The following is a 23,295-nucleotide window of genomic DNA, read 5'->3' as shown; positions in this document are numbered from 1 at the left end:
GTTTATTACACTGGCAGTGGGCACAGTGATTGAGAGCAGAGCCGTATCTACACTGGCAATGAGTGCATTCATTGAAAGCAGACTCATGTCTACACTGGCAGCAGGCACAATCACTTTCATCTCCTTGACAATGGGCACAATCAGTGAACAAAGGCCTGAATCCCCACCAGCCATGAACATGAGTGATGCATGTCATTCATGGAGAGTGCGCACAAGGTCACAGAGTTCCTTTCCAGAGAGAGGGCAGATACATCCTTCCCTCCCAGCAGACAGGCCAGCTGAAGGCGCTCATGATGTAGTCCAACAGCCTGAGTCCTGTCTACGGGGCAGAACTGGCACTGGATTGTGGAATTCAAAACCTGGATGCGGGCACTGGAGTGGCGAATCTGGAATCTGGGCATCGGAATTGGAATCTGGGACACATGGTGAGGAGATGAGACCATGTCTATTCCCAGCGTCTTGAGATCACTCAAGGTGAGGAGAGACTCAGGCTGTGTGACTCCCATTGCCACCCGCCCCCTCCCCACCCCCCACGCCGGGGCCTGGCCCAGCCAGCCTGGGCTTAAAAAAGCACCAGGAAATGTCAATTTCTTTTTGAAGAGGCGCAATGGGAGGAGATGGCCCAGGCAGTTTAGCGGCTGGTTTATTCAAAGGTCGGGAACGATGACAGGACCTTCAAATCCTGAAGATTGTTTTGTACCCAGGCTAGACCCAAGTCCCTTCCCTGGCAGATGGAACCCTGCCTAGTGCCGGCCAGAGGCCCCAGCCTGACTGACAGCCCAGCCAGGGATCTGACTGATGTGTGACTGCATGATTCCTGTGGCTGTCCAAGCCGGGACCAGGACTGTAGCCTGAGCATTCTCCAGGCTCCAGACTCCAGCTGCCTGGGGCTCAGGGGCTGCAGCTTGACCAGGCACCACCTGCTATGCTAGGCCACTGTGCTAGGATGGCTCAAGGTGGCAGCCTTGGGCTCCGGCCACTGACTACTGACTGGCATGGGACAATGCCTGCTCCTTGCTGCCTCTCTGCACTGCCGTTTCCCCATCTGCAAAATGAGGGGTGGCCCAGACACCTTCGGGTTCCTGTTCTATCTCTGGAATCCCTGTGTTACCCACAAGAACATCTAGATCTTATCGGAGACACAGCCTGCATGCAAGTCAACGGAGGGTGAATTCCTCCTGAAAGAAGAAAGCTCTGAGGACCTTCAGCCACCCATCTATGCAGCTTTCATTCATTTGTTCATTCATTCCATCATCAAACATTTACTGAATGCCTATTATGCACCAGGCACTACTTTTCACAACCATCTCCAGAAATAAGAGTGCAGAACTGGGCACACAGTAGGTACTCAACAGTAATGATGAAGGCAGCTACCACGTACTGACACATTCTGAGCCAGGCCTATTCTAAGCGCTCTGACATGCCCCCATCTCATTTACCTTTACACCACTGGTCCACAAGGTGGCCACCACCCCAATTTTATAAAGAAGGAAACTGAGGCTCAGAGAGGTTAAGTTGTCCATGGTCATACAACCGGGAAGTGAGGGAGGTAGAATTTGAAACCCAATTTTGTCTGACTCCAGAACACATGCACTTAACCACTCTACTGGCCCCCTGACAAACATTTATTGAATGACTGAGTAAATAAATGATAAAGCTTTGCATTGGTGCAAGTATGCATTCATGTGTGTGCAAGGCCATGAGTTTGCACGAGGGTGGGGAGCCTGTGTGTGCAGATGTCTGCATGTTTGCATGTGGAGCTTTTTTATGGGAAGACGTTCCCTTGTTGTCTTAGTCTTGTGTGTGCTGGAGCTATACTTAGCTGCAGCCGTGACTGTAATGAGCAGTTAGCGGCACACCAGCCACTCTCATCGGGACCTGGTTTCCCAGGGAGATCGCCGGGCCAGTGTATATGTGTGGGGGGTGCAGCTTGGTGCTGGGGAATGCTAGATCAGGGCTTTGGAGGGAGCCTGGAGCTCACAGTGCTGTGCCTTGTGCAAATGGAGAGACTTAGCTCCAGCTGGAAGAATCTGCTCCAGGCCAGAAGCATCTAAGCATCCAGGCTCCACCAAGCTCAACATTGGCCACCTATGCCTGTGGTCCCTTCACTGGTCCACAAGCAATTAGAACTAAAGCCTTGGAGTTCATGGCTAACACCTGGGGGTTGATAGCAAAAAGCGGTGGGAAGATGGTCGATCCTGGTATACCTGAGCCAGGGTCTTCTGCGGCCTCAGGAGGGCCCCCTCCTCAGCACCTTCTCTGCAGCTGGTGAAGCTGCACTGCCTCCTTGAACACATCCTGCCTGAGCTATCAGAGGTTCTCACTCACCAAGGCTGGGGACCTGAGGAGGAAGAGAGACCTCCCTACTCCGGAGCAGACTGAAACCACAGACTCTCTCACACAGCCTAGGGTTCAAAGGGCAATCCCCCACTCACTGACTGCCCTTCAGGCTTTGGCCAGAGGCAGGTCTGGAAAACCACAGGTCCTGAGGGCTTGCCGGCCACATGACTCTGCCTGGAACTTCTTTCCAGCCTGGTCCTGGTTCTCTGCCATCAGGGACTCTCACCTTTGAGAGTGGGCCAGTCCCTCAGCCCAGTCTCTGTCCCCAGCTCCCAGCTCTCTCACTCCACAAACCATCCCACCTCCTGCATCTGGCAGTCCCACTTTCTGCACACATGTACTGGGCCACTCCACTCTGCCTACTGCCCTGAAGTCCATGCTTCCAAGTCCCATCGTCCAGGATGTGTTCATCCTGTGAGAGGTGGGACTTCCGCTTTGAAGGCACGCAAGGAGAAGCACATCCATGGTCCTCCATCCATCCTTCTCAGCCATTTGTTTACCCATCCACTGAGTCACCCAGCTGTGTCTCCTTCAATCCATATGTCCCTCCTTCCATCCATTCACTTGTATCCATCCACATATCCGTCTTTTTATCCATTCTTTCATCTATTCGTCCATTACTCGTCGGTCTCTCCCACTACCTCATTTTTAACCATAGAACCACAGCATCCCAGAGCCAGAAGGAACACTGGCATGGCTCTAGCTGACCTTCTTGATTTATTTTCAAAAGAAGACCTGGGATCTAATCCTTCTACCACTTGCTCTCTTCTGGATGGTCTTGGACAAATAAATGATTCTCTCTGGGAGCCATTTTTCCCTCATCAATAAGAGGGGTATACTACCTAACCCTTCCACCTCACAGGGGCACATAGCTTTAGCAAAGATCGATTGATTCCCTATTATGTAACAGGCACTACTATTGCCTAACCTGACCCTTGTCCTCCAAGAGGTTGTGGTTGAGTCTGAGAGTCACAGAATGATAGTCAGTGGATCAAAGGCCTCAAGTCAGACAGGAAAGGTTTTCTGGAAGCATGAAGGGCAGAGCAGGCTCTTCCAGGAGGTAGAGGGTGTCGGGAAAGGCTCCCTAAAGGAAGAGCCATGAGAGCCGGCCTAGCAGGAAGCATCCATTTCAGAAATGCAGAGGAGGAGGAGTGGGCATTCTCAGTGGAGGCAACGGAATAAGCAAAGGCAGAAGGGCAGGGAGCCGGAGCACGTTGGGAATGGATGATGCACATTGGGGCCCAGGGTGATCTGGAATAGCAGGGCAGGTGGGGCTCCCAAGGATCACACCACAGGCTTTGGAAAGGGCTGGGGACATGGAAAGTGTCAGTAAGCCAGCACAAACCACTGTGATTCCTACATTCCAGGCTTTTACTCCAATCCTCAGACTGCCAGACAGGAAAAAATATCTGCTTGGTGACAGCCAGGCCTCGGGAGACACGATTCCTGCCGCCTAGAAGGGAAGCCAGCGCCTGGTATTTCTGACCTTTGTGACTCTAAATATATCATTGGTGATGGTGGCTCCTGGCCCTGAGGTTGTGGGCAACCGGCTGAGGCTTCTACAGCCTCCCTCCCTGCCTCTGTGGCTCAGCCAGGGCCTCCTTATACCCAGGAAAATCCAAACCCAGGACCTGCTGACAATGGCACCCCAGGTCACCAGATCCAGCCCTTGGCGAGTGTCTCCCATGTGCCAGCCACGGTGCTGGGGGCTTTGCCCCTCTGAGACCCACCACAGCCTGTGAAATACAAACTATCATCCAATCTTACACACGAGGAAACTGAGGCTCAGCCAGACACCACCTGCCCGAGTCCACACTGAGGCAGAGGAAGGATCAGAACCCAGGCCTGGCCAGGCCCAAAGGCCTGTGCACCCTCCTTTAGCCTGTCCCCTCCCTACACTCCCCTTGCACTTGAGATGGTGGCCTCTTCCTGCACATGGCACTCAGAACTGTGTTTTCTCCCTAATGCTCTTTCTGCCTCTGGTCTGACGGATTCTCCTAACACCGCTGAGAAGCTGGTGATGCCATTATGCACACTTTATAGATGAAGAAGCTGAGCCCGAAAAGGCAAGACCATACTCCAGGTGTTGGGGCTGAACAGGGGTCAGGGCAGAAGCACCCACGGCAGCTTGCAGGGAGCTCACTGCATAGGACTGACCCTCAGCAGATGACAGCCACACACGTGGGTTTACAGGGCCCAGCCCTCTCCCCTTAGCCCAGGGCTCCAGCTCACTCCAGGTGGCCCAGCAGGTGGCCGTGTTCCTCACTGCTGCTCAGAGAGCCCCTGAGGCTGAGCATCAAACATTCATCTCTAAGTGGCGAGACACTGGCCCTGGTGGGTGGCTGTGGCCTGAGGTGTGTTCACTGCCCTGCTCTGGTGATGAGGCCCACGGAAGTCATGTTCTTCTGCCCCACCACCTATGTGGGCAGAGAAGGTCCCCAGGGAGCCACCTGGCAAGGCTGGGTCCCCATCGAAGCCTCCCCAGGTATGGTAGCCCGCTTGTCAGGTATTAGATTCATATTCTCCTCTCAGGTGGGGTGAGGCGAGTGTCTGCAGAGCATCCCACAAAGATGCCTTATCTGCAAGAGGTGTGAGTGATCGTGGGCATCACGTGCGCACCAGTGCTCGCAGTGCAGTGAGCCAGAGGGCCTTCTGTGACTTATTGCCTTCTCACAGCAGCCCTTTGAAGTAGGGACTCTCGTTATCCCCTCTTGACAGCTGAGGTGACTGAGACTTACTAAGATCACACAGCTAAGAACTAGCAGACCCAGAATTGGGCCCTGGCAGTCTGGCTCCAGTGTGGCCTGTGCCCATGCCACTAGCCATCTTCTCCCGGCACACCTGCAGTGAGAACCCTGTGAGCACCACGGAGGCCTGTGTGACTGGAAAGAGCTCACATGATCTCTCCCCGGCAAGGCCCCCGACCCTCTGTCTCCCTCACCAACTTCTCTCCAGCCCCACACCCAGCTCAGAGAACCGTGTATGGGACCCACCATCTCCTGCTGGGCACCACAGACCTTCAGGAAGAGGCCAGAGGCCCCTCATTACGGCCCTCCATGCAGAAGCAGGAGCCCCCTCCACGCAGGCCCACCCTGTGCAGGCCCCTGTGGCTGCAGGAGGGGAGCAGAGGGCAATGAGAACTGAGCCCTGGGCTGGAACACTCAGGGAACCCATGGGGCAGGCCCCGTCAAGAGCAGACCCCACTGTCAGGAGCCAGTGGGGTTCTGGGTAGCTCGACTCTTTCTTTGCATGATTTAGGGGTGGATTTTTCTTTCTTTTAAAAATTATTTTATTTTAGATTTAAGGGGTACATGTGCTTGTTTGTTAAATGGGCATTACATGCATAATGGTGGGTATGGGGGCCCCTAGCGTGCCCATCTCTCAAATATTGGACATTGCACCCAGTAGGTAATTTTTCAACTGTCATCCCCCTCCTAGCCTCCCTTCTTTGGAGTCCCCAGAGTACATTCCTCCATCTTTCTGTCTGTGTGGAAGGAGCACCACCCCTTCTGATATACCACTGTCCTTTGACTCCGAGCCCAGCCCCAGATATGCCTCCTCGCTGCGCCTTGAACCCTGGGCACACAGCTGCTCAGGGCTTTTGCACATCTCACTTCCTCTGCTGCCCAGGTGTCCTGTGGCCTCCTTCCTCACCTCCTTCAATCTTTGCTGAAATATGACCTGCGCTCACAGTGACGCTTCCCTGCCGCACGAGTTAAAACTGCCCACTCCAGTGCGCCCTGGGCTCCTGCCTCTGTCATATCTTGCCCAGCTAGAATATAAGAACTTGAGGGCAGGGATTTTTGGTGGTTTTGTTCTTTGCCCTATTCTCAGCTTCTTGAGCAGCACCTGTCACATAGTAGATGCTCAATAAATATTTGTTGGCTGGATGGATGAATTGGTGCTGACAGCAGCCCCTGGCAGGGAAATGGCTCATGGACTGTGTTTATGTGCAAAGCGGGAGTGTGGGGAGAGGAGTTGTGAGCTTTCTGTGTTGCACTGGGGAAGGAAGAGGTGAGGTGAGTGGCATTGTGGGCAGGGGTGCCAGAGCCAGGCTGCCAGGCCAACAGGGAAGGGCTGGGGCTGGCCAGGGTGGAAGGGGCATCCGACGCCCTGCAGAGGCTTGAGAGAAAGCTTCATTTTGCTGCCATGGCTCACACTGAGGCAGCATCTGAGCCTGACCCAGCGAGGCTGGTTCCTGAGCCCCCCTGAGCTCAGCTGGCTGGGGCCGCCCCAGCTAATATTAGCTCGTCCCCACCCAGGCTGGCGTCGGCCTGGCGGAGCAGCCCAGCTTCAGAGTGGGCACCGCCCATGGGCACCCAACAGGAGCCCCCAGCCCTAGCCCCCAGGCTCCTCCCTGTGCCAGAGCAGCCCCTTTAAAGAGGAGACATTCCAATGACCTGAGCTGTGATGCATGGCCTCCGCCCGCCAGCCCTACCACACTGGCACACTTGTCGGCATCTGAGGTCCCTGTGCTTGGCTCCCAACCAAGGCCTGATGTCAGCGGCCCTCCCTCCCTCTCCCCTGGCAGGCGGACGTTCCATCATCCTCCCCTTTATACCCTGCCACACCTGGGGATGGAGGAAGAGCAGGGACAAGCGGCCCATAACCACAGATGGGGAGACCGAGGCTCACAGGGGTTGTGACCTGCCCAGGACACACAGGGAGCTCAGGAGAACCAAGCAAGAATCCATGCCTGCCTCCCAGGGTGACGCCTCTGAAGTCTGCCCCTGGTAGACAGACTGGAGGAAGGGACCCCAGGGACCACGGTAGGTGAGCTGCCACCTAGGAGAAGCATCTGATAGTAGAGTCAGGAGCTAAAAGAAGGAAACAGGTGGGTAACGGGTGACGATTTGAATCTCGCAGGGCCGAGAGCTGGTAAAAAGATGATGGAATGCACAACAATTAAGCACTTACTATGTTCTGGGTTCTGGGCTAAGTGCTTAACACATTGGATCCTCCCAACTTCCCTATGAATCAGGTGCTATCAATACCCCTCTTTTGAGGCACAGACAGGTTAGGAGACTTATCCAAGGTCACACAGCTGGAAGGTAGTGGGGCTGGGATTCGATCGAAGGCCTGATGGTTCAAGGGGCTATGCTCTTGCAGAGAAAGGGGCTCCAGGTCATATTCCCAAAATCGTGTAGCCAGGAAGCAGTGGGGAGTGGGGAGATGCAAAGCCCATACACTTTCTACTGAATGCAGAAGGAGGCCCAAAGCAGGGGATTTGGGACAGAAACCATCCTAGACTTTGGAGGAGAGAAGTCCATTTTGAAAGCCAGTGACTAATGCCTAGAACTTTCCACAAGCACAGCTACAGAGGAAAGGGGACAAGGAGGGGACAGGGAAGGGAAGGAGGTGGACATGGAAGGAGATGGGGAAGGAGAGGTAGGAAAAGAGCCTGGCTGGCCTTTGGGAGGAACGGAGTCCAGGAGAAGTCAGACTCGGGGGTCGGGCTGGACCAAGTGGGACGTAGGAACTTGTGCATCTTGGTTTTGGAAAACAGTTTCGTGGCCTCAAAGCTGTGGTTGTGGATGGTGGGTGGGCTGATGCAGCGCAGAGAAGAAGTTCGAAAAGACAGAGGGTTAAGCTGTGAAGAGCTTCATCTGGGCCTGGGTGGTGACACCAGCAGGTGGGCCCCTGCCTGGATTGGGGTTTGGACCCCCTACTAGCGCTGCCCCAGCCTTTGCCTGTTATTCGCTGCTCCAGGCTCAGGGGATGGAGGGATTGTGCTCCCACGTGAGGCCAGAAAGGAAGGCTCAGCTAGGAACAGGTTCAAATGCACGGTGCCCATGTCTGCCCTCGGCCTTGAACCCTACTTGCTTATTCTTTCTTTCAGTAAATATCTATTTAGCACCCACTATGTACCAGGCCCTACTCTAGCTTCTAGAGACAGAGCAATTGGAAAAAGAGACAAAAATCCCTGCCCTCATGGACTGTACAGTCTAGTGGGGAAACAGACAATAAACAAGGCAAACAAGTAAACTATATAGTACATCAGATGGTGGTTAATGCCAAGGAGAAAAGAGCAAAGCACGAAGTGGGGAAGGGGCCGGAGAAGTGTCATCTGGGCTGATGATGTCTGAGTATAGACCTGGAGGGGGTGTGAGAGCTGATACCCAAGGGAAAAGCATGCCAGGTGGAGGGACCAGCGCAGCGCAGGTCTTGAGGCAGAAGCATGGGCAGCGCTGGGGAGGAAAGCCATGGAGGCTGGGGGAGGGAGGGAGAGAGAAGCAGACAGCAGAGGGAGATGCTGGGTGTGGGGCACTCAAGTGGAGCCTGCATCCTCTGAGGAAGCCCAGACCCCAGCGTGAGATGGAGCGGAGGGCTGACTTGGTCCGATAGCACTTTGCCAGGCCGGCCCTGGCTGCCCTGAGAGAAGGGCGGGGCAGCTGGGGCTGAGAGAAGAACTCAGGCAAGAGAGGGCAGGGGCTTCCACGGGGGGGTAGCTGTGGAGGGGTGCGATGCACTCAGATTCCGAGTGTACTTGAAACATGAAGACAACAGGGTTGGTTGATGTCTGAGAGAGAGAGGAGTCCAGGATGACTCCCAAGGTCTACCAGTGGGAGCCACCAGATGGATGCGGTTGCCATGGCTGTGATGGGGCCTCACCCCAGGCCCAGTCCCCCTGCCATCGAAGCCTCAGCCTCAGGAAGGAGCGGCTTGCTTGTGACACTCTGCCAACCCACACACGCCCATCCAGCCCTCTGTGTCCTGAGGCTGGCCCTCGACTGGAGCCGCTGCCTGCATCAGCACTTCTCAGACTCCACCGTGCATGAATCATCTGGGGAGTGAAAATGCAGATTCTGAATCGGTTTCAGGGCTGGGGTGAGGCCTGAAAGGCTTCACGTCTAACAAATGTCCTCATGGTGTTGCTGTTGGTCAGAGGGCCACACCTTGAATGGAAGGAGCCCACACCTCTCAGGCCCCAATGCAGCGATGTACCCTCACTCAGCAGTGGCCTCAGCTGTGCTGAGGGGTGAAGGGAACATTCTCCCCCTCCCTGATCTAAGAATCGAGTTTCCCAGGAGTATGAACTTTAAGCATCCCAGGTAATTCTGAGGGTCAGGCATGGGTGGGAGTCCTCCAGCAGCCACCCCTCCATCCCCCATAGCAGCCATCGCAAACACCCCTACCCAGCCCTGGCCCTTCCAGCACAGCACCCATCCCCTGCGCCCTTCCCCACAGCAGCCCTACACCATAGAAGTTGGCCCCACTGCCCCTGCTCCAGACCCCACAGCCTGGCACACAGGAGCTCCAAGTGGGCCTTTCTGCAGCTCCCTAAGGGCAGGAAGCGAAGAGAAGGGCCTGGAGAAGCGGGCAATGGGTGCTGTCCATAGGCCTGAGCAAGCACCCCCAAAAGAGGTGATCCCCCCAGGTCTGTGCCTGCCAGAGGGCTGGGGGAGCCCGTCAGGCAGGGGTGCGATCACTATGCCTTGAATGAATGAGTGAGGACAGGATGAGGCAGGCTGAATGAATGTAGGAGGAAGCTTTTTAGACCCCTTCCTGCTGGGCTCCTGCCTGCTCTGGGCCAGGACCTTTGCCAGGATTGCTCACACGTGCCCTGGGGAGGAGCTGGGCTGGGAGAGAGAAGGAGAAATAGGGGAGGACTGGCTTGGTTTCCCCAGCTCCTCTGGGAAGCTGAAGCCTAGAATTCTTGGACTCCCAGAATGTCAGAGTTGGGAAGAGCCTTAGCCGTCAGTTAGCACGACCTCTGTATTTTACAGGTGGAAAAACTGCAGGATGAAGGGGCCACAGGACTTGCTCAAGGTAGCCCAGCTGGTTTCACAGCCTGGCTAGATTCCTCTCTAATCCAGGTGTCTGATGCCTACAACCTGGGTCTTGCCTGTGGCCTCATCTCTCCACACACCGGGGCTGGTCTCTAATCCTGAGGGCCCGCCTGTCCCCAGCCCCCAGCCTCCAGAACTGACCTACTCATCACCAGCTCACATCTCACAAACTGGATGACTCAGTGCCCAGTGCATACCCCTCACTCCCAAAAACATGACGTCAGCGAGGGCAGGAGCAGCCAGGCTAAGTGTGAGGAACCTTAAGGGATGGATTTTCACGTTCAGCAAAAAGCAGGGAGGACACTGAAGTGAGGGGAATAGATGACCAAAACCCCAGAGGTTAAAGGGCTGCCAATGAGGACCAGGGAGGAGGCTGGCGGAAGGGAGCCGCAGGAGCTGTGGCTGGGTTCCAGGGCAGAAGGCCTTGGAGTGCCGAGCTGAGGGGCGGCCAGCGTTCCCACCATGTGCCGCCCTGCACAAGCAGCTTCTGATCCTCCCAATCCTCCTGGCATTTCACTTTAGGCCATATGGAGTCCCAGGGGCTGCATGGATGGGAGTGGGGGGACAATTGAGGCACTGTCACAAAACCTTCCTTGGGACTGACAGAGCGCCCTCTTAGCCCATGGCCTGGCCAGGCAGGGCCCTCACCTGCCATTACCCAGGGGCCAGAACTTGCTGACAGGTTCTGGACAGGTTGTTGGGAAAGAGTGGATGGTGGGGAGGGAGAGACCCAGACGGAAATTCAAACCTGGGGCACAGCAAGCCACAGGCCTCACCATCCCTGGAACATGGACAGGAGGCAGTGCTGTGTAATAGTTACAGATAGAGCTCCAGCGTCAGACAGACTGAGGTCTGACTGCTGGCTCCACCGCGCATGAGCTAAGTGACCTTGGGTAAGTTACTTAACTTCATTGAGCCTCTGCAGCCTTGTCTGTGTCATTGGCGTGATAGTATAGTGCAGCCTTGAGAGCCTTGTGAGAATTATTAATAAATGAGGATATATAAATCAAGTCCTTAAGACAGTGTCTGACACTGCGTGATTCAAGAAAGGAAGGGGGTTCTGGAAAATCCTGCTTGGGGAATCCTAAGGATTTGGGTCAAGTCTGGGTTGGCTGACGTGAGAAGGTCTCAATCAGCTGTGCCGTGTCCTTGGAATGCAGGTATCTGTGTATTCCACTTCCCCCAGGAAGGAAATTAATGGGAGTAGATAAGAGAAGAACAGCACGCCCAGGTGGGGTTTGGTGTTCTTGTAAAACTGAGAGCCAAAAGAAATTCAGATGGTCAGGCCCTGGGACCAGAGGCCTAGGCTGTGAGTTTGAGTCTCACTGATTCCCTGTGTTGTCTTGAGCAAGTGTCTTTCCCTCTCTGAGCCTGTTTATTTTCACTGAATGAAAATATTGACTAGAGGTAGCCTGGGAGCACCCATTCCCTGCAATAGTCCCATGCATATGTGAAGTGGTCCCTACCACCTAAATGGTTCCCCTGAATAAGGACTGAAGAGCAAAGCACCCCTGCAGCCTGTCAGGCCCTCCTTTTCCTCTAACCTTGCACCTAGCAGAGGGGAGCTCACGCTGGGGTGGTAGCCAGGCTGGCCCCAGAGCTGATGGGAGGCAGTGGCTCAAGGCCCTGACCTTTTGGTCTAGAGTGAATCCCCTGGTCATGAGACCGCTCAGAATAGCCAGAGGCATTATATTCAGCTGTCGTGGAGGCCTTGAGATCCTCAGCCCAGGCAGTGGACCCTGGAATGAGCCCCCACTGAACCCCCTCCCCCACCTCTGAGACAACCACCACCTCCCTCCTTGATAGACTTCAGCCAATCCCCTCCAAAGCTTCTGGCAGAGGCCAGGCCTCCTGCTCAGAGTCAAGGAGCACAGACTCCAAATGCTCTGAGGCGATGTGACACAAAGCACCTGTGAGCCAGGAGTCAGGAGATACGAGTTTCCCAGCCAGCCCTCAGCTAACCCGCTCACGAGGGGCCTCAGGTAGAGCACTCCTCTCTGGGCCTCAACTTCCTCATCTGTCATGATAACAGCTCCTATTCTATAGAGCATGCCAGAGGCTTACAGTCTAGAGGAGAGATGAGCCCAAATCAAACAAGGCTGCTAATGAACATTTTATTAGAAATCAGAGAGCTTCTCTCCCAGGAAGGGCCCTGGTTCTGACTCCAACCCAGCCTAGGGGCCCGGGAAGGCATCACTGAGGAGCTGCTGTTTGAGGTGGGGTGTCGGGGATAAAGAGGGGTGAGCCAGAGGAAAGAGCGCTCCAGAAGGCAGGGTATGTGCAAAGGCCCTGAGGCAGGGGAACCTGGCAGGTGCAAGAAGCTGAAACGAGGCTGGGTGGTTGGGGTTTGGTAAGCGATGGAGACAGTCAGGTCAGAGGAAACTGGAGGGACAGGCAGGGCCTGAGAGGCCACAGTATGGGCCACGGGCTGGCGAAGCACTGAAGGGTTCTAAGCAGGCTCGGGCGATCTGACAGGCCCGTGAGTTGAAAAGACCTCTGTGGTTGCCAGGTGGAGGATAAACTGGAGCAGCCAGGGGCTGGAGGTGGGAGAGCAGCTGGGGGGCTGCCGGGGAGGTGAGCCTGAGGGGAACCATGGTGGCTTGAGCCAGGATGGTGAACATGGAGGTGGAGGGAGACGAGAGAGTCTACAGGAGGGGAAATGATAATACAACCAACAGTAGTAATAATAGTAGCCAACATTTATTGAGCATTTACTGTATGCCAGGCCCTGTGGTTCGGGGCTGTCCAAGCATTACCTCAGTTATCTTCACACCAACCTCGTGAGGACGGTTCTAACTTTATTCCCATTTAGCGGTGAAGGGGCTGCAGGGCTCTGACCAGGAGGCGCTTGGTTTATGATTTTCATTACTGGGAGGGGGGTGGGGGGAGCTGGAGGAACCATTCAAAGACCTGAGGACCCCATACAAGGATCATGGGAAGCAGGGGGGCACACTGTGGTGGAAGGCCCTTGGGGTGGCTGGGAGGTGAACATACCCAGCCCCTTCTCCACTGTTCATGGGTCTCCTTCATATGGTACCATGACTCCAAGTGGGGCCCTGGCCTGGGGGAGTGGGCTCCGAGGCAAGGGGGTGCACTGCCTAGAATCCCCTGATAATAGCTCTGTCCCCCAGCCCTCCGCATGCCAAGCCACGACTCCAAGAGCCCTGTGTCGGCTGGGACCCAAGGGAGGAACAGAAGCCTCTGGCTGGGCGCTTTATTTCCCGCCACCAGGTAAATTTCCTTCCCTGGGAGCTGAGGGGAGGCCAGTTTTTATCGAGTTCCAAAGAGGCAGTGACAGGGCAGAGAGACAGACACAGGACAAGGGTCAGAGGAGAGGCAGGCAGCTGGGTGGATGGAGGTGGGGCTTCCCCAGCTTGGGGGCCATTGGCACTACTTTGGCATTTGGAAGGTCAAGTGACTCAGGAACAGATGTTAACACACACACACAAACACACACACACAGGACACTCTGGCCTGCAGCACAAGGACCACCATTGGCCCTGATGGGACGCAACAACGTCCCTGATGATGACATGCAAATCAGAGACTAAAGCCAAGAGCCTCAGACCTGAGCTGGCCCCCAAGGAAGACAGGAGGGCAGGTTTCAAGCCAGGCAGCCCCAACACTCCCCTGCCTGCTCTCACACCTCTATGACCCCCCTGCCCTCTCCACCTGGTTAACTCCTCCCTGCCCCTCAAAGGTTGCCCCAGCATCACCTCCTCTGGGGCAGTTCTTATTCTCATGGCCCCAGGAAATCCCTTCATAGCCTCTCCAAACAGTACCACCATCATCATTGTCTTGTGTGTGTCAGGGGCACCACCCCCCAACCCAGAACACACGTGGAGCTCATCCTGTCCCAGCTCATCCCCTCAGGCTGATGCCCAGAGCACAGGAAAGGGGGCCAGGGGAGCAGCTGCCCCAGCCAGCAGCCGGCACTCTTGCCCCTCAGGAACTCAGATGGGCCCTCCCGCCCCGACTATGTAGCCCCTATCTCCAGGGCCAGCACCAAGGCCCAGGGTAGGTGGCAGCTCCTCAGGGAAAGGTGACCTCACCACCCGTCCCACACACTGACAGTGGCCTGGGCAGAAAAGCATCTCTACTGAGGAAAGGAAATGCCCTCAGTTAGGCCACTCCGGAGTCCCAGAGACTGAGGCAGTGGGCAGGAAGCAGCTCTGGAATCTCATCTTCCTCAAGCACACACACACTCGGGATGCACAGGACCTCTCTCTCACATACACACAGCACACTGACACACACGTGGGTTCTCACACACATCACGTACACTGTCACACACAGGATTTCACACACAATCTCTGTCTTACACACACCTTCACATACAGTCTGTCACACACAGGGACCCCCACCCCACACAGCCTCCTGCCTTATGTGTACACGCATGTACACACACACACACACACACACACACACAGACTCACACATGAGCTCCACATATACAGTTTCACACTTGCCACACACAGCCACACACTCACGCAGACACACTCACCTCGACTCTCACGCACTCTCCAAACCTCACACACAGCATCTCTCTTACACATGCAGTCTCTCTTCCTTATACACACTCTCTCCCACACAGTCTCATTCTCACACACGCACAGTCCATCCAAAACACAGAATCCGCCTCTCTCACACACACAACCCCTGACACAAGGACTCAGGAAGCTCGCACAGAGTCGCAGTCTCACCACACACACACACACACACACACACACACACACACACGCCTGGAGTCTCACATTTATTCTCACACACACAAGTCTCTCACACTCACACACAATCTCTCTTACAAAGAGCCTCTGTCTCACACATACAGCCTTTCCTTCACACACATATGCAAGATCACACACAACATGCTGGCCTAGATCTAGAATAACGACTTAAGTCCCGACCCGCTGGTGTGAGGAGTCTCGGGGCCCCGTGTGGGGGAGGGGTAAACAAAGGTGACAGCAGAGGCGGCAGAGCAAAGACAGAGGGGGAGGAGGGCGGGCAGGCGGCTGGTCTGTGCGCAGATGAGCCGCAGAGAGGCAGCGCAGTGCAGCTAGGCCAGCCGGGCGGGCGGCAGGAAGCTGGGGTTCTAATCCCGCTCTGCCCTCCTCAGCTCCCGAGTGCCCTTGGGCAGGTCCCTCCTCCTACGGGCCTCAGTGTCCTCAACTGTTCCCCGAGGGAGCTGGAAGGGACAACAACCTTCCTTTGAGGCCACTGGGGAGAGAAGGTGGCTCAGACAGGCTGAAGGGGAGCACCCACTAGCACCCGCTCCTATCCCAGTACCGCCTCACCCCGACCACCGGGCGCCCAGCTTTTCCCTCAGAGTCCGCTCTTCAGTGAGCATTCACTTCAGAGATTTTTTTCAAGACTTTTCTGTACGGTTTTGCACACCAATAGAACCTCAAACCACACTAGCTGGCCCATTTGTCTGCCTTGGGTGAAGGCCACCCGCAGCCTAGGAATGTCCAGTGGGAGGAGAGGGCCAGGGGAGGGGGTTGGAACATGCCCCACTGCCCCCTGCCTGCCCTGAAACTCAGGACACTGATCAGAGCCCCAACACTGAGTGCAAAGGGTGGGGCTGGGGGACTCAGCCTCTTGCTTGGGAGTCAGGAGACTGAGCCTACCCCTTGCTTCTGGGGCCAAAGTTGGTGGGGGAGATGCTGCCCAAGGTCAAGTGTGGGCTGAATGGGCAGCTGCTGTAACCCAGGCCTCTGCCCACCCCCACCCCAACATGCACTAGTTCAACCTCCCATCCCCCTCCTCCAGCCCCTCCCCACAGCTCAGCCACAGCCTCCAGTTACATAACCCTCTAGCTGTGGTGGCCTCTGTCAGGAAAGGGAAGGGGAGGGAAGCCCTCTGAGGGTCCCAGTCCACTCTGGGGAAAGGCAGGAGCTGGTAGGCAGCCCAGGGGAGGATAGGGTCCCAGGAGAATTGAGTTCTAGTCTTTCTTGGCCTCTAGCTCCCTGGGTGACCTTGGGGAGGGTCCTCAGTGGCAAAACATGGGCCTGGCTCTCTCCCTATTGCCTCCCCCCATAAACACAGTTGTTCTAGAATTCAAGGTATAAGACTGACCGGCTACCTGCCCCCCGCCCGCCCCGACATACCATACTGTTTTTGATCTCAGTTAACAGATCTACAAGGTCTGTGCCTAAACACAGACTTTCTTTGCCCATGGGCACTTGAGGTCCCCCCAAGTCTCCTCCCTCCACTCTCCTCTGCAACTTCCTACCCCTCCCTAGCCCTCTACCCCTGGCTCTGGCTCAGGCTCCAGTGCGCAGGAGGGGAGAGATGCGGAGTAAAAGACAGCAGGGCAGAGGCAGTGCTTTGCCTGGTAGGGGGTGAGGGCAGCTCAGGGATGCAGGAGGGGCTCTGCTTTAAATTCTCTACTCTGCCCTTCCCCCACAGGCCTTAGGGTCTCTCTTTAGGCCTCTAAGGACAGAGCCCAGTGAAGGCTGGGAGTGTCTCTTCCAGGGTGGGTGGCTGCTACCAGTTCCTCTTTTTGGGCTCAGTCACTGATGTTCCAGCAGCAAGGCCCTTAAGAGTTCACCAGGCCCCCTCCCCCATTTTACAGATAAGGAAACTGATCCAGAGAGGCCATCTGAGGGACCAAGGTCAGCAGCAGCGTGTCCTTTCTTCCTAGGAACAAGCTGGTATGGCTATAGGGGAGTGGCCCATGAAGACACGCCCACCTCTCACACACCTTCTCCTTGCAGGTTCCCCCTTAAGGACCCTTAAGGACCGACCCCCTCTCCCCACCACGGGATGTCCCAGAGGAAGCACTGGCATAAGCCCAGTGACCCACTCCAACACCCTCCGCTTTCGACAAGGAGGAAGGACAGGCTGTGATCTCAGGATCGGGGGCTCAGACGGACCACCCCTACCTTACAGCCCAGCCCTCCACCAACTTCCAAGCCACCGAGATTAGCCATGGAGATGCCCTCTTGACCACTTCCTCAAAATTGCCGGAGGCTGCTCCCTGAGGAGGGGGTGTCTGTCTCAAGCTGCCCAGCAGGCCTCAGGCCTTTTTGGGGGACCATGGCTGGCTCCAGATGCGCCTTTACCTGGACAGGAGGAAGGGCTCCCAGCTTCCCTCCCCACACTGAAATCTCGAGAGCAGTCCATACTTTGACAGTGCACCTCTGCAAAGACACAAATGTTCACGGGCAGGCGCTCATGCACACTCGAACATACACACATGCTCACTCATTCCCACTCCACACTTTACCCACCCAAATACACACCACCACACTTACATAAATATGCACACACAATCTACTCATACACACAAACACACCCATTCATACTCATACATATTAAACTTGGCAACACACAGACTGACATACATAGAAAACCAGAACCCCGGCGGACACCCTTCCTCTCTTACCCTGGTACGTGCACACATGCGCACACACCCCCTTTCGATTCTGAACTCCCTAGGCGCCAGTTCTCCGGTCCACCCCTGCCCGCGGGGAGGCACAGGACGCTGCCTTCCCGCCCCGCTCTTCTGATGGGTAAATTGTCACTTACCCGCGCGTAGCGGGACGAGTACGGGTCCTCGAAGAGCGCCCAGATGCGCGGCTGCCAGCGGCGCCAAAAGCCGCCAGGCCGGCCATCCGGGGAGTCACTGAGCGCCAGGCGCTTGGTCATCTCCAGCTCGTCCTCGCCGTCGCCCGAGTCGCCAGGGCCGTCGGCGTCCGCGTCGTCGGCGCTGTTGTCCAGAGGAGCGCCGCCGAAGCTGTCCAGAGCCTCCTCGGCGTCGCGGTGCTGGCGGTACGTCATCCAGCAGCAGGGCTCCACGTCGGTCTCGTCGATGCCCCAGAAGGCCAGCTCCTCCTCGTAGAGCGGCCCGCACACGTCGGCTGGGCAGTGCAGCTTGCCCGTGCGGTAGTAGTTCAGGATGTGCGCGAAGACGCCGGGGTGGCGGTCGAAGAAGAACTCGTCAGCACGCGGGTCATAGTCGAAGTGGCTGTGGGCGTCGGGCTCCGCCAGCCAGGCGAGCCGCGTGCCGGGCAGCGTGCGCAGGGTCGAGCGGTACGTCTGGTGGCGCGTGCCGCCCACGTTGATCACGATGCGCTCGCTCTCGTCCCCTTGGCCCATCGCGGCGCCCCCTTAGGCATGGCGCGGCCCAGCGACACCCATGGGAGCGGCCGCCAGGGGGAGTTGGCGCCGGGGAGGGGGGCGCGCGCCCTCTTCCCCCCTCCCCCCAGCCGTCGGGGGGAACAGAGGCCTGCGGCTCTGGCCACCCCAACGAGCGAGCCAAGCCTCTCCGGGCGCTTTGTCGGGTGCCGGTCCAGGGGAATGTGCGCGGGATCCCAGGGGTCTCTAGGAGCCAGATGTGGGAGGGAGCTGGTCCGGCAGCGGAGGAGGCAGAGGAGGAAAGAAGGGAGGGAGAAAGGGAGGGAGAAAGGGAGGGAGGGAGGGAGTGAGGGGGAAAGAGGGAGGGGGGCGGGCTCAGCAGCGAGCCCCGGGAGGTGGGGAAAATGGGTTGGGGGGCCGGGCTCCCGTCCCCATCTCCGCGGGAAAATGGAGAAATCGGCACAAAGCTTTTGGGGGAAAGGTCAGCCGCTCCCGGGGCCGGACTAGAGGCCAGCCCCCAGGAGGGGGAGGGGAGGAGACAGGGCCGGGAAATTCGCGCTCCTCTGTGAGGTGGTCGCCGCGGCGCGCTCTCGGCGCGGGGGAGATGGATGCCGCCTGCCTTCCTCCCTGCGTGGCCGGGCTGCAGCTCGGGACGCAGGGCGGGCTCCGGCCCCCTCCCTCTCTCCTTGCTTGGCTGCCTGCTCCCCCCGGCGGCGGGCCCGCCTGCCCGCCCGCCCTCCTCGTTCCTTCTCCCCGCCTCCTGGAGGAGATGGCGGGCCCCCTGGGCAGGGGCACCCGGGGTGTTGCTCGTGCGGCTAACGCCGAGCGCTGCTCTCCGTGAGCCCGGGCTCGAGCTGGGGTTCCGCTGGGCTGCGCTCGGACTTGGGCTCCCGCGGCGGTGCTGAAGGGACAGCTCCCGGCGGTCGCGGAGCTGCACGGGGCCAGGCGGGGGTTCTCCTGGCTGGGTTTGATTTGCGGGGCCGGCGGGCACTGGCTCCGGTGCCTCTGCGCCCCGCACTCCGCTCCTCGCTTCGGGCAGGCGGTGGGCGCTGCCGGCCGAGACGGGGGCTGCGGAGGTCGGGCGGGGAGGCGGGGGTGGCGGGTCCGGGCGCGGCGAGGTGAGGCCAGCGAGGCCGGTGAGGCGAGGCGCGGAGCGGCCGCTGCCGCCGCCGCCGCGACGCTGCTGCCGCCCGGGCTGCTGCTCCGCTTGCTGCTCGCCCGTCGCCTGCTCGTTCGCGCGGTCCGCGTCCAGCCCGCCGCTCTCCGGACACGGGCACACGGCGCGCGCAGCCGCACTCGCCCCCGGAGGAAGGCGCCGCGCTGGGTCCTAAAAAGCCCTGATTCCGCGCCCCCCTCCCAGCCCCGCACCGAGCCCGGCCTCCCTCAACCTCGGCGCTGGGGGCGCCCGCCCCGCGCGGCTCCTGCTGCTCCCGGGGGACCCGCCCACGGTCCGCCCTCGGGGAACGCCACTCCAGGGGCGGGGGCTCCGAGAGACGTCTGGGCCCGCGCCCCCGGGTCAGACTGAGGTGAGAAGGGCGTTGGCACCCTCCCCTTGCCTTCCAAACCAGGGACCATCTGATCCCTGGTGAGACAAAGCTCTCCCGGAGTTTTGTCATCAGAGACACCCTGGCCCGGACCAGTGCTGACCGCTCCAAGGAATCCTTTAATACCGACCCTTCTCGCGGAACCTGGAGGCCCCATGTTCCTTCCATGGGTAATGTCTTGCATGAACCCCAACACACACACACACACACACACACCACGTTATCCTCTACGCCCTCCACTAACAATCAATCCTGGACCCCTATTAACCCCTTTGGACTCCTTACTGACCCTGGGCCCTTTATAGCTTCAGACAGAGGGAGTCTCCCATGAGTGCCACATCCATCCAAGCTCACGGACTCTCCCACACTAACCCTGGATCCCTAGGTGGAGACCCCTTATGAAAAGGACCTTCTGCCCTCAGAGGTCAGAAGCAGCAACTGCTCGTAGTTTCCCTGAGCACTGACACCCCCACCCCGCACTTCCTAGGGCTTCAACTGCCCTGGGTGATAAGCTGGTGTTATGTCTGGGAGCTGGGTGGGAGCTGCTGCTTGCTGTGATTCCTCCATCTTCACAGTTGGTCCTGGGGGTGGGAGTTCCAGTTTGAACCTCAAAGCCTTCCTGGCCCATGCCTGCTGCTAGTGCCTTGGTTTACTCAGTAAAGCAATCACTCCTTTACTCCTTACTTGTTTCAGGATCCGTCCCAGGCACAAGGACACAAGAGATGAATCTGACCCAGCCTCTGGCCTTGAGAAGCTCCCAGCCTTCTGGGGAGGTGGCCAGGTGGGCCTAGGCAGGACTGGGGAGGTCAGGCCCGTCTCCAGGGGTGGCTGGGGTGGGAAAGAGGCTTATTGATCCCAGCTCAACCCAATCGAACACAGGATGCCTGGGCAAAGGGCGATTTAATTAAGAAGATATGAGGCTTTTATTACTGCTGGCACTTTCTAACTGTGCAGACAGCTGTCCCTCTACCCTGACCCACAGATGCCGTTGTGAGCCTGGGGACAAAGCTGTGCCACAGACATCGCTCTCCTTACTTGGCCAGGGGAATCCCAATCTAGCCACAGGAAAATCTGTGTGTGGTGGGTAAAAGGCTTGAAGGGGTGGAGAGGGGCAGGGCAAGGATTGACAGATGGGAATAGGACAAGGGGAGAGACAGAGAGGCTAAATTAAGTCAGAAATGGGCAGAGTTGGGCAGAGACAAAGAGAGGGTTGGATTTTGGGGCCTGCATGGCACCTCCTCCCTCCAGATATTGATCTGTGTGATTCCTCTAAATAGGAGCTGTTTCCCCTTCAATCTCAGAGTAATGCAGGGATGAGAGTGATTTTGAGTGTCCCTTTCACCCTGACCAGTGTGAGTCCCCATCTCCTAACCACAAGGAAGCCTGGCCTGGTGTGGCCCGGCCTGGTGTGGCCCATCCTGGCCCATATTCAGATCCCCGGGACATGGGTTCTCAGGAAATTCTGTCCCAACATTGGTAGAAGATGAAATAGAAATGGAGAATCCAGAAGGAAGAGAAAAAGGTGGACACAGAGGCAGACACATACACACACACACACACACACACACACACACACACACACACACACACACAGCTGGGAGAAATCAAGATGGGGAGAGACAAGAAAGCAGCCTCTCCAAACCTTCCTTTCTTTCTACCCAGATGTCCAGCCCCTCTTCTCACCCAAGAATCTTCTGGGATTCTACTAGCCATAGGGTTCCAGGACTTCACCTCTCTCTTCACCTGCAGAACCACACGGGATCAGAGTATGGCTCCTGATCTTCTCCATAGCTCATCTGATCTCCATAAAAGGACCATCAGCTCCTCCAGGGCTTCTTGTTTGCTTCCCTCCAGAGTGCCCAGAATACAGTAGATCCTCACTAAGGTCCAGATGATTTGAGAAAGGCTAGGAGAGAGGCTGGGATCCTAGAACCCAAGTGGCAGAGACTGTGGGAGTCTGGAACACCTAATGGAGACCAAGTCAGGAGGAGGGACTTACCCAGGGTTTTTTAGGGAATCAGTGCAGGGCCCCATCACTACGCCATGGCGAGTCCTAATAGGGGGCTGCAGTGTGACCCAGGCAGTTGGGGAGGGGGCACAGAGAGACAGAGAGAAACAAGGGGCTCCTGGTAGGCAGAAGGTTGGGTGATTAGGGGCTCTGGACGATGTGTTAGAAAGAGGGAGGTAGGCCAGGGTTGGAGGCAGAAGGAATGTGAAAGGGTATTCATTGCACCCTAAAGCCCATTACACCCTAAAATCCCCCAAGAGGTAAGCAGAGAAAACTCAGACACAGGAGCCTCCCCAGCAGGAGAGGGTAGCTGTTCCCAATGTGCCCCACACTGTTCCACTTTAGGATTCTCACTTTGATCCCTGATGACACACCCCCAGCCCAGGCCCCAAAGAATGGCCTCCCTTGTGGATCCTGAACAGGACATCAAACTTTCTTCTCTCACTTCCCCTTCACACTGCGAGAATGCTAGCATTTGCAAACAGCCTAGGAAAACCAAGAGGGCAACACAGAAGAAATCAACAAAAACCAAAAACCAGAAAACAGAGAAACAGAGGGTTTTGGGGGGAAATAGGAGGAAGAATGACTAACCATTCCCTAGCTTCTCACTCGCAAACACTAACGACAGACCCCCAGCTAGACTGAAAACCTCACTCCTTTTCCACTTTGGAGCAGCACCTCCTATTCGCAGCCATTTGCCCCTCCCTTGCAGAAGAAAGCTTGTGGTCTGGTGCCAGAGGGTCTTTGGTAGCTGGGGCTGGTGGGGGTGGGAGCAGTTGTGGTGTGGTATGTTCAGTGGCTAAGAGCACAGACTTTAAAACCAGACTGCCTGGATTCAAATCCCAGCTCCAGTACTGACTAGCTGTGACCTTGGGCAAGTTACTCAACTTCTCTGTGCCTCGTTTTTTGCTTTTACTGTTGTATTGAAATAATAATAATAACTCCTGTATCCTTAACATCTAAGTTCTAGAATTTCTCTTGTTTAGGCCCAAGGAGGGATTGCTGGGCTTCAGTAAGCTTCATGTAGGAAAGGCTAGAATATAAGCTGGTGTTGGGAGTGGACTAAAAAAAAGGTGAAGGGAGTTCTGAAGCCAAGTTTGGCCTATGTTTTCCCACCTGGCACTTGCAGGCCTTAGATCTGGTCCTGCTAAGCTCTGGAACTGGCCCAAGTCCAGCCCCTAGGCTTTTGTCCAGGTTGGCACATCCTCCATGCTGCTCTCCCAGGCCCAGAGCCTCAGCCCTCCTGGTGGGCTGGGGTGCCATCTTGTGGCCATGGCTGGGAACTAACCTAAGCTGGGTATTGACCGAGAAGGCTTTGAGGATAGTAACCCTGCTCTGATGGTAAGCCGTGGGGGTGGCAGACATCCCCTCCCTAGACCATACCGCCTGCCTCCAATGGTCAGGGAAGATTGAATCCAGAGATGCCGTAGTGGGAAATTGGCGACCTTGGCCACAGATCTGTAGGTTGAGCAGTGACCCTGGTAACCTGGGCTGAGCTGCAGCGAGGTATACAGCTAGCTGTTCCTTCTTGGAA

At 56.8% G+C, this 23,295-nt stretch overlaps 1 protein-coding gene across 4 annotated transcripts in view, besides 1 other annotated feature; it reads right to left on the bottom strand.

The window, feature by feature from the left end:
• KCNC1 (potassium voltage-gated channel subfamily C member 1) overlaps positions 1 to 19,452 on the bottom strand; it is a 48,277-nt gene extending 28,825 nt beyond the window's left edge. For 3 of the 4 annotated variants that reach the window (XR_930866.3, NM_001112741.2, XM_047426916.1), the window contains exon 1: positions 17,661 to 19,452. Coding sequence is in view for 3 of the 4 variants with exons in the window: in NM_001112741.2 (NP_001106212.1) it covers positions 17,661 to 18,230 (570 nt within the window). In the remaining variant the exon portion in view is untranslated. The remainder of the gene's footprint in view (positions 1 to 17,660) is intronic. The other variant, NM_004976.4, reaches the window with a different exon arrangement.
• Positions 19,513 to 19,612: a silencer, noted in NCBI's record as "silent region_3187". NCBI's record gives its function as "represses an Ori minimal core promoter by ATAC-STARR-seq in GM12878 lymphoblastoid cells {active_cell/tissue: GM12878}" and the evidence as "EXISTENCE:reporter gene assay evidence [ECO:0000049][PMID:35858748]".

The sequence above is a fragment of the Homo sapiens genome, chromosome 11 (assembly GCF_000001405.40).
Source record: "Homo sapiens chromosome 11, GRCh38.p14 Primary Assembly".
In the NCBI taxonomy this organism is placed as follows: domain Eukaryota; kingdom Metazoa; phylum Chordata; class Mammalia; order Primates; family Hominidae; genus Homo; species Homo sapiens.
Note: the sequence above shows the minus strand (reverse complement) of the source record. Positions and strands in the feature narration are given on the sequence as shown.